Source organism: Homo sapiens, chromosome 7 (genome assembly GCF_000001405.40).
Source record: "Homo sapiens chromosome 7, GRCh38.p14 Primary Assembly".
NCBI classification, from domain to species: domain Eukaryota; kingdom Metazoa; phylum Chordata; class Mammalia; order Primates; family Hominidae; genus Homo; species Homo sapiens.
The window spans coordinates 84631897-84648337 of NC_000007.14; the positions used below are offsets into that span (position 1 = coordinate 84631897).

Consider the following 16441-nt stretch of genomic DNA (forward strand, 5'->3'; position numbering starts at 1 on the left):
GCAAGCAGAAAATAAAAGTTTGGAAAATTTGCAGCCTGACCACGTAACAGAAAAGAAAATTCCATTTTCTGAGGGGAAATTCAAGCCTGCTGCAGAAATTTGCATAAGTAACAGGAAGATGAATGTTAATCCCTAAGACTATGGGGAAAACGTCTCCAGGGCATGCCAGAGGTCTTCATGGCAGCCCCTCCTATCACAGGATTGGAGGTCTAGGAGGAAAAAATGGTTTTGTAGGCAGGGCCCATGGTCCCCGTACTGTGTGCAGTCCAGGGACTTGGTGCCTGGGGTCCTGGCCGCTCCAGCCATGACTAAAATGGGTGAAGGTACAGCTCAGGATGTTGCTTTAGATGATGCAAGCCCTAAGTCTTGGCAGCTTCCACATGGTGTTAAGCCCATGGGTGCACAGAAATCAAGAATTGAGGTTTGGGAACCTCTGCCTAGATTTCAGAAGATGTATGGAAATGTCTGGATACCCAGGCAAAAGTTTGCTTCATGGGAGGAGCCCTCATGGAGAATCTCTGCTAGGGCAATGCAGAAGGAAAATGTGAAGTGGGAGCCCCTACACAGAGTCCCTACTGTGGCACTGCCTAGTGAAGCTGTGAGAAGAGGGCCACCATCCTCCAGACTCCAGAATGGTAGATCCACTGGCAACCTGCACTATGCACCTGGAAAAGCTGCAGACAATCAGCACCAGCCCATGAAAGGAGCCAGAAGAGAGGGCTATACCCTGCAAAGCCCCAGGGGAGATGCTACCCAAGGCCATGGGAGCCCACTTCTTGCATCGGTGTGACCTGGATGTGAGACATGGAGTCAAAGGAGATCATTTTGGAGCTTTAAGATTTGACTGCCCTGCTGGATTTTGGACTTGCATGGGTCCTGTAGCCCCTTTGTTTTGGCCAATTTCTCCCATTTGGAACATCTGTATTTACCCAATGCCTGTACCCCCAGTGTATCTAGGACATAACTAACTTGCTTTTGATGTTACAGGCTCATAGGCAGAAGGGACTCGCCTTTTCTCAGATGAGACTTGGGACTGTGGACTTTTGAGTTAATGCTGAAATGAGTTGAGACTTTGGGGGACTGCTGGGAAGGCTTGATTGATTGGCTTTGAAATGTGAAGAAATGAGATTTGGGAGGGGCCAGGTGTGGAATAATCTGGCTTGGCTCTCTGTCCCCACCCAAATCTCATCTTGTCACTCCCATAATTCTCAGGTGTTGTGAGAGGAACCCGGTGGGAGGTAATTGAATCATGGGGGTGAGTCTTTCTCATGATGTTCTCATGATAGTGAATAAGTCTCATGAGATCTGATGGTTTTATAAATGGGAGTTTCCCTATACAAGCTCTCTCTCTTTGCCTGCTGCCATCCACGTAAGAAGTGACTTGCTTCCCCTTGCCTTACACCATGATTGTGAGGCCTCTCCAGCCACGTGGAACTGTAAATCCGTTAAACCTCTCTTGTAAATTGCCCAGTCTCATGTATGTCTTTATCAGCAACATGAAAACGAACTAATACAGTTGGGAACACTTCAAGTCCTCTCTCCTAGATATTTTTAAATATCCAATACATTGTTGTTAACTATAGTCACTCTGCTATTCAACATTAGATCTTATTTCTTCTACCTAACTGTATGTTTGTATACATTAATCAACCTCACTTCATCTTGCCCATCTCAACCCACATACCCTTCCCAGCCTCTAGTAACTATCATTATGCCAACTTTTTGGCTCACACATACGATGATTGAGAATGTGGAATATTTGTCTTTTTGTGCTGGTCTAATTTCACTTAATGACCTCCAGCAACCATGCTGCTGTAAGTGACATGATTTCATTCTTTTTTATGGCCAAATTGCATTCCACTGTGTATATATGCCACATTATCTTTATTCATTTGTCTGTTGATGGACACTTAGGTTGACTTCCTATCTTTGCTATTGTGAATAGCACCACAATAAACAAAGAAAGGCAGGTATCTTTTTTTATATAATACCTTTTTATCCTCTGGATAAATACCCAGCAGCAGGATTGCTGGAGCATATGGCAGTTCCATTTTTAGCTTTTTTGAGAAATCTTTATACTGTTTTCTGTAGTAGCTGCACTAATTTACATTCTCACCAACAATATATAAGAGTTCCCCTTTGTCTGCATTTTTTACCAGCATCTGATTTTTTTTCTTTTGGTCAATTAATAATGGCCATTCTAACTAGGGTAAGATAATCTATCATAGTGGTTTTGATTTGCATTTCCATGATGATTAGTGACACTGAACTTTTTTTATATACTTGGCCATTTGTATGTCTTCTTTTGGAAAATGTCTATTCATGTCCTTTGCCCAATTTTTCATGGGATTTTTTTTTTTCTGTTGAATTGTTTGAGTTCCTTATATATTCTGGATATTAGTTCCATGTCAGATAGTTTGAAAATATTTTCTGCCATTCTGCGAGTCATCTCTTCACTCTGTTGATTGTTTTCTTTGCTGCACAAAAGCTTTTAAGTTTAATATAGTCACATTTTTATATTTTTGTCTTTGTTGTCTATGCTTTTGATGTGTTAGCTTAGGCAAATATACTGAAGTGTTCCCCTACATTTTTTTCTAATATTTTTATAGTTACAGGTATTTTATTTAAGCCTTTAATCCATATTGAAATAGGTTTTTTATTTGCTTAGTGATAGGCATCCAGTTTCATTCTTCTGCATATGAATATCCAATTTCCCCAGCATCATTTATTGAAGAGGTCATTCCCTGATGCATGTTCTTGGCACTTTTGTCAAAAAGCAGTTGGTGTAAATACATGGATTTATGTCTGAGTTTTCTATTCTGTTCTATTGGTCCCTGTGTCTGTTTTTATAGCAATACCATGCCATTTTGGTTACTATAACCTTGTAATATATTTTGAGGTCAGTTAGTGTGATGGCTTCAGATTTGTTCTTTATGCCTAGGACTGCTTTGGCTATTTGGGCTCTTTTTGGATTTTATGTGAATTTTAAGATTATTTTTTCTATTTTTGTGAAAAATGACATTGATATTTTGATAGAGATTGTACTAAATCTATAGACTGCACTGAATGTATAGATTGCTTTGGGTAGTATGGTCATTGTAACTATGTTAATTCATCTGAGTCATAAACATGGAATGTTTTTCCATTTGTTTGTTTTCTCTTCAGTGTCTTTCATCAGAGTTTTGTATTATTATTATTATTTTTGGTAGAGGTATTTTACATCATTGGTTAAATTTATTCTTAGGTATTATTATTTTCAGTCCATATGCATCTTTTTAGGGGAGATGATTTTCTTGTAGGCAGCATATATTTGGGACTTTAAAAAAATCCACCAGCTGGACTGTATCTTTTAAGTGGAAAATTTAATTTGTTTACATTTGAGATTATTACTGATATGTGAGGCTTATGCCTGTCATTTTGTTAACTGATTACTGATTTTTTTGTATATCCTTCGTTCCTATCTTTCTTATTGTTTACCATTGTGATTTGGTAATTTTTGGTAGAGATAACATTTGCATACTTTGTTTCTCATTTGTGTATTTGCTTTACCAGTGCATATTATATTTTTGTGTCTTTTTATAATGGTAGATATTGTTTTTTACACTTATAAATGTAGAATGTCCTTAAGAATTTTTTGGGGGCTAGTCTAGGTGTGATGAATTCCCTCAGCTTTTGCTTGTCTGTGGGAGACTTAACTTCTCTTCCTTTATGAGCATAATATTTCTGGGTACAGCATCTCTGACTAACAATTTTTTTTCCTAGCACGTTAAATGTATCATTCAATTTTCTCCTGACCTCTAAGTTTTCTGCTGAGAAATCTGGTGTTAGTCTGACGGGGGTTGCCTTATAAGTGATTAGACACTTTTTTCTTGCTATTTTCAGAAATCTGTCCTTGTCTTTGATTTTGATAGCTTAACTATAATGTGCCATGAAGAAGATATTTTTGCATTATATCTGTTTAAGGATCATTGAGCTTCTTTTCTGTGGAAGTCTAAATCTTTTGCTAGACTTGAAAAGGTTTCAGCTATTATTTTGTTAAATAGGTTTTTTATCATTTCATTTTCTTATGACCTTCTTGGATGCCCTTTTTTTTTTAATGGAGCATCATTCTGTCACACAGGCTGGAGTACAGTGGTGTGATCTCGGTTCACAGCAACCTTTGCCTCCTGGGTTCAAGTGATTCTCCTGCCTCAGTCTCCTGAGTATCTGGGATAACAGGTGTGCACAACCATGCCCAAGCTAGTTTTGTATTTTGTGTAGTTTCACCACATTGGCCAGGCCGGTCTCAAACTCCTGACCTCAGGTGATCTGCCTGCCTTGGCCTCCCAAAGTGCTGGGATTACAAGCATGAGCCACCACACCTGGTCCCCCAAAATTTGCATACATGATTACTTTATGGTGTCCCATATGTCACAAAAGCTTTGTTCATTTTTTTTTTTTAATTTTTTTTTTGTCTGACTGTATTATTTCATATGACTTGCCTTCAACTTTGGAAATTCCTTCTTCTGCTTGATCTAGTCTATTGTTTAAACATTTGAATGTATTTTTTATTTATTCAATGAATTATTCAGTCTCAGAATTTTTGTTTGGTTCTTTTTTAATGATATCTATATCTTTGGTAAATTACTCACTCATATCCTGGATAGTTTTTTCTGGTTCCTTTGTATTGTTTTTCAGAGCTTTCTGAGCTTATTTAATATCTCTATTTTGAATTTTTTATCTGGGATTTATAATTTTTTTTTCATTGGAATCTATTGTTGGAGAATTATTGTCTTCCTTTGAAGGTGTCATATATTTTCTTGGTTTTTCATGTTTCTTATGTATTTACAATGATATGCTTCCATCTGATATAACAGTCACTTCTTCCAGTTTTTTGAATTTGCTTTCATTTAGTGGACTTTTTCCTGAAGGTGTACTTATGATGTTGTTTGGGTAGGCCACTTTAGCTTTGATTCTAGATGCATGTAGTAGTGTAGACTTCGTATGATTTCTTCAGTTGTAAACAGTGTCATTAGTGTCTGTGATTTCTTCAGTGGCTTAGGCTGCATTTGTTAGTGGATGCTACAGTACAGTTTTGATGGGGACATGCATGTCTGGTAAGCCAGTCCTCGGGCCGCAGTGGGGGCAACAGCAGGACAAGCATTTTTGTCCTTGGGCCCCAAAGTGGCATATGCTGGCACCATGGTTGGCATGTTCAGGAAGACAGATTCCTGGGCCTCCAGGTGGCTTTCTTGGGTGCCAGCAGTGGCAGCACTAGGCCATCCAGGTGGGTGGGCTCTTGGGTCCCTGGACTTCAGCATGACGTGGATGATGGAAGTAGCAGTGGCAAAACAATCCTCTGGCTCCCCAAGTGGTCTGCTTTGGTCTTGACAGTGGCTCAATCAGCTGGATGGGCCAATCCCCATGCCCACTCATGGAATGGGTGGGTGGGTGCCAGCTGTGATGATAGTGGCAGGTTAAGTGGGCCTATCTTCATGCCTCCAGAAGGAGAGCTCTGGTGCCAATGGTGGTGGATAAAGCAGGGGATCCCCAAGTCCTTGGATGACATGTTTGGCCACTAGGATGAAGTATGGAGCTGGGCCAAGCAGGCCTGTTCTCTGGTCCTTTAGTGGTGTGTGGGGGTGTTGGCTGTAGTAGGTAGGAACAGGGTGATCTCTAGGACCTCAGTAGAATACTCGAGTAGGGGTGAGGGGCAACAGCAGTGCACTGTGGCTCTGCTCCTGGGGGTAGGAAGGTCATTGCCAATGGCTCACATCTTGGGCCTGTTTGCAGCAGCCAGCAGTGCCTCCAGGCTGTATGTGTGTGTGGGATATCAGTGGGGCTCCAGGGCTGGGCTGGGCCCCCAGGACTGGATGCAGTCTGGTGAGGACTGGGCTCTCAAAATGGTACCTTGCTGTATCTGCTTAGGGCTTGAAGTATGTGAGACACGGTGTGACCCCCACATTCCTGGAGCAACACCACTGCATGGTTTCTAGATGGCTTTCTATGTTAGTCTCAGGACCTGAGAGGAACAAAGGGCTCTCTTGTGGCTAGAATTACAGGAGTTATATCTGTTTTCTTAAAGAACTTCTTTCATTTCATTTAGTTTGGAATCCACTCATATATATTCTTAAGATTATCTAACCATTCAGTTCTTCTATCACCTAGAAGCATTTATTTCCCTTATTCATAAAGTACAAGGAGACATTTTTGACAACTACTATGGCCTATGTCTTCAGCAATCATTTGATCTAGGAATCTAATAATACAGTTAAAAATAAAAAAAGGAAATGACACTTGTTTGACATGACTAGCTTCTAGTAAATTCATGCTGACTGCCAGCATTCTCAACATTCCTAAGCCTAACTGTGTCATGTGCTAAGAAACCAGTCAAAAATTCCTTGGTGAGCTATGTAGTTTTGAGCTTTACTCATTTCCTCTGTTTGAAAATTAAGATATTTACTTCTCTGCTTATTTCTCATTAATCATAAATTCTGAAAAATTATCAGGAGTGGTTTTACTAACATAATTACAATTACTTTTGGCCTAAAATATAATTTTCTGGGCCTAGAATAGTTGAGTGTTTTTAATTAAAGAGCTTATGATAACTACTTTTTACCCATTATAAAACATCTGAGCTTTTAAAATGCATTAAGATTAATGTAATGATATCTTACATTAGTAGGCATCAGGAAGCAAAGCAGACATTGTTCTCACCCTCACAAAACCCACAGTTCAGTAAGAGAAAAATATAAAAATATTCACATACACTATGTAAAATAAGAAATGTGAAATGTCTTAAGAAAGAACAATCAAATAGTGTTGAAAAGACAGGAGAATCTAACTGAATTTGGGATGCCACAGAAGGCTTATCATAGGGAGGTTTTAAAAATGGTAGCAATAAACTAGCAAGGTAGGCAGTAAAGATAAGAAGGCTAGCATTCTAAACAGAGGGAACAAACAGCATGTGCAGAGGAGCTTGAAAAAAAAATAAAAAAACAGGCTTACTTAAAGCCTTAGTGTTGTATATCCACAAATATTTCTCACTAATTGCCTTTTCTTACTTTTCATTTATAATAGAAAGGAAGTTTATTTCTTTTTCCTAATGTGCATCTAGACCTTAGAAAAAAGTCTCACATGGTGCACATGCATTAAATATTTGTTAACTGCCTCAATGAATAAAAGAATGCTATTCATCAGTCAAAATTATCACCCACTTTTAGTGCAGTTACCATATTTATTCTTATCTTGGTTTGTTGTTCAGTGTTCTTTATCACTTGGTACATTTCACCTTTTCTTCATAGTCAAAAATTTACTTTTATGTCTTAAGTCAAACTTTCATCCACAAATCCCTTTCTCATGCTCTACTCTGGTTTAGTCTTTCTTCTCTTGCACTCCTGTCACATCATAATATGTGCTATGTTATTAATATTTAGTATCTTACCATATGCAACCGTTATTGCTATTTACTTGAGTTTTGTTCATCTATGTACATATATTTGTTTTTAAATACAGCTACCTTCAAAGTGGTAAAGTTTATAGTCTCCCCTAAAATATTTCCAGGTTTATATCCTAACACTGTGATTCTTGAAGGCAATGAGTGCTACATATGTGTTTCAATCTTCTCTCATGTTTCAGTTAGCAATGTGCTCAATACATTAATATGTTCATGTATTTAAAAAAATTCTTTCTTGTTAACTTATTGAAACATTATTATTACCTGATATTTATGAAGGTTGTATTGAGAAATTGGATTCAAGATGAAATAAGAGCAGTGAGGATTAAAGGAGTCTATAGGTACTAGAAATCAAAGCACACAAATAATCAAATTCAAAGAAATCAGACATCAAGTAAGCTAGTGGGTTAGAGAGTAGATAAGAAATTAAAAGAACAAACGAGACATATCACTGTAAAATAAATGTTGCTTCTGATTCCACATCTGATGAGGCATGTTTGTTGGGGTCTAGTGAGTGGTTAGCAGTGGAGCAGGAAAATAGTATACCTTAATTTAGTACCTACTAAATGTCCCTTACTTCTCTTACTTTACATATTAAATGTCATTTAATTCTCACAAATCCAATGAAATATGTATTGTTATCCCCATTTTATAAATAAACGATTTTAAAGAATATTGGTATATTTGGTTGATATATGTAAATGTATATTCTCCAAAAGAAAAGTCTTAACTACAACTAACTTTTATTGGTATAAGTTTTCAACGTGGTTTATATTAAACAATACAATGTGGCAGGTGAAGTTTGCCGTTTTGTTGTTTTTGTTCTTACTATCTGGTAGTACATGTTGAAGTTTATTTATATTAAAAGTTGATTTGCTAAACATTAGGCATTTTATGTGTGCAATGCATTTTATGCATGTTGAGATATTAATAATAAGCTCTCTGCAATTATTAGAATATCATTAATTCAGCCAAATGCTGTGAGAAGATTTAAAAGTCTCTATTATTTATTTGTTCATTTTTGATAAAATTCTTGATCTTTATTTGGAGGAAGATCTTGGTAATACCTTGTAAAGTGCTCCTTTGACTGCCTTTTTTGTTTTGCTTGTTTTGTTTTGTTTTAATCTGAGTTTTGTTTTAATACCTTAATTTACTTAAGAATCTATCAACTTTACCAGCAGATCAAGAATGATCTGCAACATAGTATTTATTCTCTAAGTTTTTACTAAAGCATATAGCCCATATTTTGGATACCAAATTCTTATCAAAAGCATATTTGTAAGATAAAACATTTGTGGAAGTTTGCATAAAGAATATGCAGTCTATTCATAAGCCTAAGAAAAGTTTTCTTATGAGTTCTTTTCATTCCCATGTGTATATGTATGTATGTGTGTGTGCATAAAAGTGGAAGATTTCACATTAAAATTAAGGCTTCTCTGAAAAACAAAATCCGGCTGCCTGACAATCACATTTCTACAAGACAATGCCAAGATTAAGCTGAGAATGGCCCTCCAGTTTTCTACAGTTTTCTCCTATCCTCTTAGCCCATAAGACCCATTATCTAACCTGCCTGGCCTCTAACAGGCATGTGGGTTTACAATTTCTGAACTAAGACTTTGGAGAACTGTATGCTTAATCAACATTGTTTTCATCCCCTAAAGATTGATTTTATTAAACTATACTTGGGTGGTATACCTGTATTTTACACCAAGTATTGCTTGTGCAAAACAGTTATATATAATTCCACATGGAAAGATGCGAAAATTGATTATCAACTATCATCCACTGTGTCCTTTTCCCCCTACACGATAGGTTAAAACAAACAAACACAAAACAAAACAAAATAAGAACAAAACTATTCTTTTTGTGCAGTTGGCAGTAAATCATAGGGATTAAGGGGCCTGGCTCTAAAAGCAGACTGTCTGCACCTGAATCCCTGCTTTAACACTTACTACTCTGTAATTTTAGAAGTTATTGAAACTTTCTCTGCCTCAACTTCTTCATCAGAAAAAAATCTGAAGGTGAATAATTATAATAAGATAATTAAGGTAATTTTAAAGAGTAAGTAAATTAACACTTGTAAATAACAAACTAACAGTAAGTAAATCTACATCTGTAAATAAATTAATCAAGTGCCAGACACATGGTTAGGACTCAATAAATGTTAGTTATTATAACTTATATTACAAAAAGTTAACAAAGCTGAAAAGTAAGTCCAATCATAATCCATATATTATTTCAATCCTAAGTAGTATTGAAGACACTAAGGGATTTTTCTAGGGAAATGTATTTAGTTCAAATCTTTGTTCAAAATTAAAGATTGCATATTGTGTAAAATTTGCTAATTTTTGTTCAGTAGAAATTAAATTATTTCTGCCTGGTAGCACAGATAATATCAAAAGTTTAATATCCATAGGTTATTAAACAGTTTTGTCTCTAACACAAGAGACTTACAATATTAAATTATATTTAATCATATCAATTTCTATTTTTATGTGTGTGTGTATAAATATATATATATATATTTCTCAAATGACCTTTAGCTCATTGAGCTAATTTTAATATCTTACTAATATCCTCTTGTAATATAAGTTGAAAAAAATTCCCTAATACATATTCATTTTGTATTTGTGTTATATCACTATTTTACCTCTTTTAACGTTTACTTTAATGCCTATTATACTCCCTTCTTGGTTTTGTCTCCTAAGAAGCTCCATACCCAGTTTATGACAAGTATACAACTCTAATCCTGGCTTCAATATATGATTCTACCCTTAATAGCTAAGCCATTTTACCTATATCATCATAACACTATATAATTCTATCAATCACTTTAAATGAGTTTTAATGAGGCATACTGTACATTGCCCTAGAATCAATCCAATAAACAAAACAATTTACACTTTTTATAATCATTTCCTATCTGCATCACGTTTTATCATCTTCTCTTATGACTGTCTTGAAAATTGAAACCATATCTTGTTTTAATTTCTTATTTTCTTCTTATTAAACAAAACAATAAATATTTTAATAATCACAATATTTAAGAAACATTCACAGAATGTAATGGGAACAAGAGAATGCACACACTTAAAGTTGTGTTTAAGATACTACTAGGAAAATATCTCACAACCATGGAATCTTTCATTTCCCTAAGGAAGAGTTTTTCATGGAGAGATGCACCTTTTCACATAACAAATCAATTGAATAATATTTTACACAGATGTATCACATTTTCCAGTGAACAAATCAATACCACTGACTATTTTACAGCACTGGATCCTGAAACACAAAAATTTCCTGATACACCTTAACTCACCCAGCAGGCATACTGCAAATCTGAAAACATAATTCACTTTAAAATTAAAATGTTAAAAAATTGTCTATATTAAAACAATCAGATTGAATGCTTTTCAGCGAATACAGTCGGTAGTACCCATCTGCGGGGAATACTGAAGGAGATAACAGTGATGAAAACCTGACAACAACCTGACACATGAAAGGAAATTCCCACTATGATGGGAGAAGTGAAAGTCACATCTGTTATTAACATTAAACAGAAATAAAGCCACTCAATAAAAAGTGGTACAAGGAAATGCAAACAAAATTGCAATTTTGATTTTGCCTTTTTAAAATGCCAGAATTTTCTGTTAATAGAATAACTATTGAACAAATATGATATGTGTAAGACTATTAGCAATTTTACAGAGTTCTCAATAAGACAGCTGGTAATAGTCAACACTACCTTTATGTAACTATAAAAATAATCTTTATATTTGATGAGATATTTATATTAATTTTAGAATTATGAAGAGATTAGATGCTTAAGCAGTTCAAATTTTTATAATTAGCAGATCAGATTACTTTTTCATATTTTGTGGGTACCATCTGTTTATAAAGCAGTAGTTGCTCTACAGAATATACAGGCTATGCCGCTTTACTGCAGTTATAGTTTAGCCATTCAAACATACAGAACTCAGCTGGGAAAAGAAATTATCGCCCTTACTATCCACCCTTTTCTTTTGGAGATTCACTGTTAAATGTAAGTTCAACCTCGGGCATTTCGATGGCTCTAAAACATTTGCAATTTCTTGTGAATGGATTCCAACCATATACCAAAATATCTGTTTCTGAGCATATAGACCACATATATTTGACATTACCTATCAACCGGCATCTTCTCCAGAACAATTATTTACCTTTTGTATCTAAACTTTTGTATCTAAACTTTGATCCTGCACCATGTATGATGGTGTACATTAATGTGGACAGAACTATTCCTTTAGCTGTACTGAGGAGACATATGTTTTCACATCAAAAAATCTTGTGATTTCAGTTTGAGGGAAGATTGAGTGCCACTACCATTTATTTAAATGACTAATCATGCATGAAATTGTAGAGATTATGATTATGAGGATACAGTTCTAAAAACTGCATCATATGTTATTTAACAACACAGAGACTGTTAGTAAATGCTAATTAAATGATCAACTGAAAAAGTCACTAATTCTGTTCAGAAAATAAAAACCCTAGAATGTTTGAAGAAATGGATTTTCTCTTTTACTTTTGGCCATCATCATCCATATACTATAGCATGCTAATATATGCTAATATATGCATATGGATGTTCTTTATTCCCTGATTGAGCTGTGGCTTTTCTAAAATAGGATAAAAGTAAAAGATGGGGACCATGACTTTACTTTTTACTTCTCCAGCTGTTTAGAAGATAAGATGTCTTTTTTCATAGTGAGTAGGTTTAGATAAGATTAAAAGGAATTTGAATTTCTCCTTTAAAAGCTAGAGGTGGTCCCTACAGCTAAAGTTCCATCAGTTGAAAAACTTTGATTTGTGTGAACTTGAGATGCTCAATGAAAATTAGAATTTCTGCTGGACAATAAGGGATACCTTCAATGATGGAATGATACTTAGATGAAGAAAACGTACTGCAAAAGTAAAAACTAAAGGAATGAAGAAAGAATTCTAAAAATCTTAACTCTTCAACTTTTAGCTCTTCCTTAAAATTGACTAGAACCTCGTTATCTCAGTTATTTGTCGTTTTGACTGTTGATCACTGAGGAGGGAAAGGGAGGCATGGATTATGACAACAATGTAAACTTAAGACACTCCTTAATAAAATTCAGAATTGTTAAAATGGAATTGAGCAAGTGAAATATAGGAATGATTTTGGGCACCACACTGATCTTTATTTGAATTGCTGCTTTGCCAAATTCTCCTTAGGGTAATAAGGGGAAAAATAATTAATATTTATAAATCTTAATTCCTTCCTCTCTAAAATGATGATAACAATAATAATGCTTATTTCACTAGATTGCTAAAAGTAGTTAGTGATATAAAACATGTAAAGCTCCTAACACATTGCAGGCATTTAGTAAATAGTAACAATTACAGTGGTAGTAACAGTAATATCTTTAGACGTGAAAAAAACATAAGACATAAGTGACAGAAAAATTATGTAAACATTAATTGTAGGTAACCAGATATTACCTCAGAAAATTATTACTATAGTTAAAGATGAATTATGATTAAAGAAAGAAATTTAACTGAAGTTGGTCAACCCATTATCTATATTGCAGTGTTGAATATTAATCCTGTTTAATGAACAGGACACCTTTACCTATAGATTTAATTATACAGTCTGTCTCATAGATATACTTCTGAAACGTTGATAGACACATCTGGCTATTGTAACATATAACGCATATTTTATATACACACACGCATACACACATATAACACACATATTGCATTATTGACCACCATATTTTGATTGCATGTTCAACAAGCAGTTCTCTAATTATTATTTGGTATTATATGTATTTTGCCTACCAAGGTAGAATGTGCTTGTCAGTAAGCCTGATAAATAGTTGTTATTAACTAATGAACTAACCTGTCTTATGCATCAACTGCCATAAATTTGGTTAATATTATATTAGCTCGATTTATTGAGTCTGATCATTCTGAATCACCCTCTTTGAAATCACCCTGACAATGTGACCTTATCCAATAAAACGTTAGCATAAGCAACAATTTTAACTTCCAGGAAGTTTTAGGAACATATGTATAAATTGTTACCTTCTCTTTGCCTGCTTTAATGATTATGGAAGCATGTACCAAGATGGAGTTTCTATCACTGTGCATGCCTGAATGATTACAATGAGCCTTTAGACCTTCTTCCCCCTGCAGTTCCTTGGTCATATAACAGAGTAAGCAGTTTGAATTCAACCTCTGATATGTGGGGTTACCTGCTACTGCAATATAATCTACCTCATTCTATATGATGTAATATCTAATTGCACACCTTTGAGAAATTGTATTATAGTATTGTAGTAGTTAAGACTTTTTTTTTAACCTAAACATTAAATAATGTGTTCTCATATCATTTTTGTTCCCTTTCTGTTACTCTTCTGAAGTATGGGAATCCATAAGTAACTGGAAAAAAGTATTGTTTTGTTCCATTAAACTACCTTAACCATAAATGTCAATATTGTAAAAGCTCTATTAATGGAAATATATAGCTCTGTACCTCATACTCAAGTATTTTGAGGGATATGTTGTTCCTGATGTAGAGGGAGATGAAATTTTATTCTTTAGAAATATTTTCTACAAGTAGACATTCCTAGGCTTATCACTAATTCTTGTTCACCCAAGTGTAAAGCCAATTATCTAGTTTAGTTCAAATTCATTTAACACTTATTATGTTCTTTATATTACTCTTAGTGTTTTTATTTATTATTCTACTTAATCATTGCTATAACCCTATAAGCTACTGCTATGTTATTGTACAGGGAGAAAAATTAGGGATACAAAAGTTCAAAATATGTCCCTGGGTATGAAAACAGAAGGTGATTGAGCAGCTGCCTCTTAGCTCTCTTGTGTTATCAAAAACATCTGATCAGCTCATTAATTGATATTCTAACATTATCATTAACTGAGCATTTGTCCACTGTATTTTAACATGTGTTTTTGGTCTAATGGTTTTCTTAGTAATTAGGAAGTAAAAATACCAAACATCTCAAAATTGCAAAATCTAATGCATTTTTTTATGTTCAACCAAGATTAATTAGATTTTAATAAATATAATGTATGTTTAAACACACACTCCCACCGCAGAGATAAAAAAAAGAGTATAGGACAGAAAGAGCAATGTGTGTGTATCTTCTGTGCGTATATCTTAGGTCTCCAAATTGAGGTTTACATAAAAAACCTAGTTAGTAGGCACAGTAGTTTGTGGGACAGAAATATCGGCTGTTGAGCTATTCTGCTCTTTGGTGCATTGCAGTAAAGCTGCTGATGTGATAATTTATTAGCGGCACGTTGCCTTTCACTAAAGACAATACCTGTAAAATCAAAGGTGGGTGAGGAGTATTATTCATTTTCAATTTAGTATTCAGCACAAAGCACATTTTTCTATTGGTGTGCTTTGTAAAGGGAAGATAAACATATCAAGAGTTGAAATGAACTGGCAGAAAACAAGTGGAACAGAATGTTAGTAGAATGTTTGTTCGTGGATGTCACAAAAATAGATTAATACATTCATAAATAATAAGCACACAATAAAATTTTTATATTAAAATTTAAAACTTACCAAGAATTGAAAAGAACTGGCAGAAAACAAGTAGAATGTAATGTTAACAGAATGTTTCTTCCTGAATGACATGAAAATTAATTAATATGTCCATAAATAATAAGAACCCAATGAAATTTTAATATTGACCAAATAAAGTAGCTAAGAGTTTCCATAGACATAGGAAATTTTTTGTTTTTCCAAAACAAAAATTACCCTTTAAGGTAACAAAAATTTTGTTTTTTCAAAATTAAAATTCCTCTTTTAGGTTGCCCAAGGAATGATAATATATGTTTTAATATAAAACTTGATTTTGTTGTTAATTTGGAACAAGCTATAATGATTATTTTGCATAAAGTATTTCATATTTTTTTCTGTTTTTCTGTGTTTTCATCTAACATACACTTAATCAGCTATTGCCTGAATGATACTGTGTAACAGATCATTCAGCATTGTCTGCAATATATATCTATATGGGAAATTTCCTATATATTTTTACTATAAATTAAAGCAATCCTATTTTAATTTTCTTAGAATACAACAGTGAAGATTAAAATGAATTGGTTAGATTTGTCAATCACTAATTTAAATAGGCTTAAATATTCATAAGAAATGTCTTTCTTAATAAAAAAAAATTGTGCATATATTAATACCTTACCTCTTTCCTAAAAGACTTGAGGCAGTAGTGGAATATTTCTTAGAATAAAGGGTTTTTTTGAGTCAACAAAAATTATAGCACGCTGTTGGAACTACTATATGAGCTTCTTAATTTAAATAACTCAGGATACAAGGAGTAAAAATTAGAGACCCACATGAGTGAAATATAAGATCTGAACTTCCTGAATGATTCACTTAGGGCAATAACAGGCTATCAATAAAAAGCTATGAACTCTCTCAACCATATGTAAAAAAATAAATAAATAAAATTTTGCACACACAGCTAAATCTCATGTTGCAAATTGTTTTTATATCCATGCTTAAATATTAAGTTCTAAAGAGAATACCCAAGAGAACTGTGGAAAAGGGCTGGTGAACTAGGGACAAAAAAATGCATGGAATGCCTGGAAACAGCTTATTTTACCAAGCTATGAAGTAACTAAAAATGGCAAGAGAATGATTGGAGTACTGTAATTTCTGGGCCCTAAGCCTGTTCTTTAGGAACAATCTGTGTGCATTTGTTTATTCTAAAATGCTAAAATTCCTGACTCAAAGCTTATACAATGAATCTCATTCTGGAAATCATTCCAGCAACTGCAAGAATCAAATGTTGTGAAGAAAAAACTAAGATGAATGGGAAATTATATCCAAAGCATCTGCTGTCAGTGTTGCTCTGATTGGATACAAAGGCATGAACAAGTCATGCAAAAGCTTAGTTCTCACAGAAAACCATGCAAGTCGGGTGCCTTTTTGCCAAAAAAGAA

The 16441-nt window shown here is 34.4% G+C and overlaps 2 annotated features.

The window, feature by feature from the left end:
• Positions 5027-5802: an enhancer, noted in NCBI's record as "H3K27ac-H3K4me1 hESC enhancer chr7:84266239-84267014 (GRCh37/hg19 assembly coordinates)". NCBI's record gives its function as "activates a minimal SCP1, AML or CMV promoter by ChIP-STARR-seq in naive H9 embryonic stem cells {active_cell/tissue: H9 hESC(naive)}" and the evidence as "EXISTENCE:reporter gene assay evidence [ECO:0000049][PMID:30033119]".
• Positions 5803-6576: an enhancer, noted in NCBI's record as "NANOG-H3K27ac-H3K4me1 hESC enhancer chr7:84267015-84267788 (GRCh37/hg19 assembly coordinates)". NCBI's record gives its function as "activates a minimal SCP1, AML or CMV promoter by ChIP-STARR-seq in naive H9 embryonic stem cells {active_cell/tissue: H9 hESC(naive)}" and the evidence as "EXISTENCE:reporter gene assay evidence [ECO:0000049][PMID:30033119]".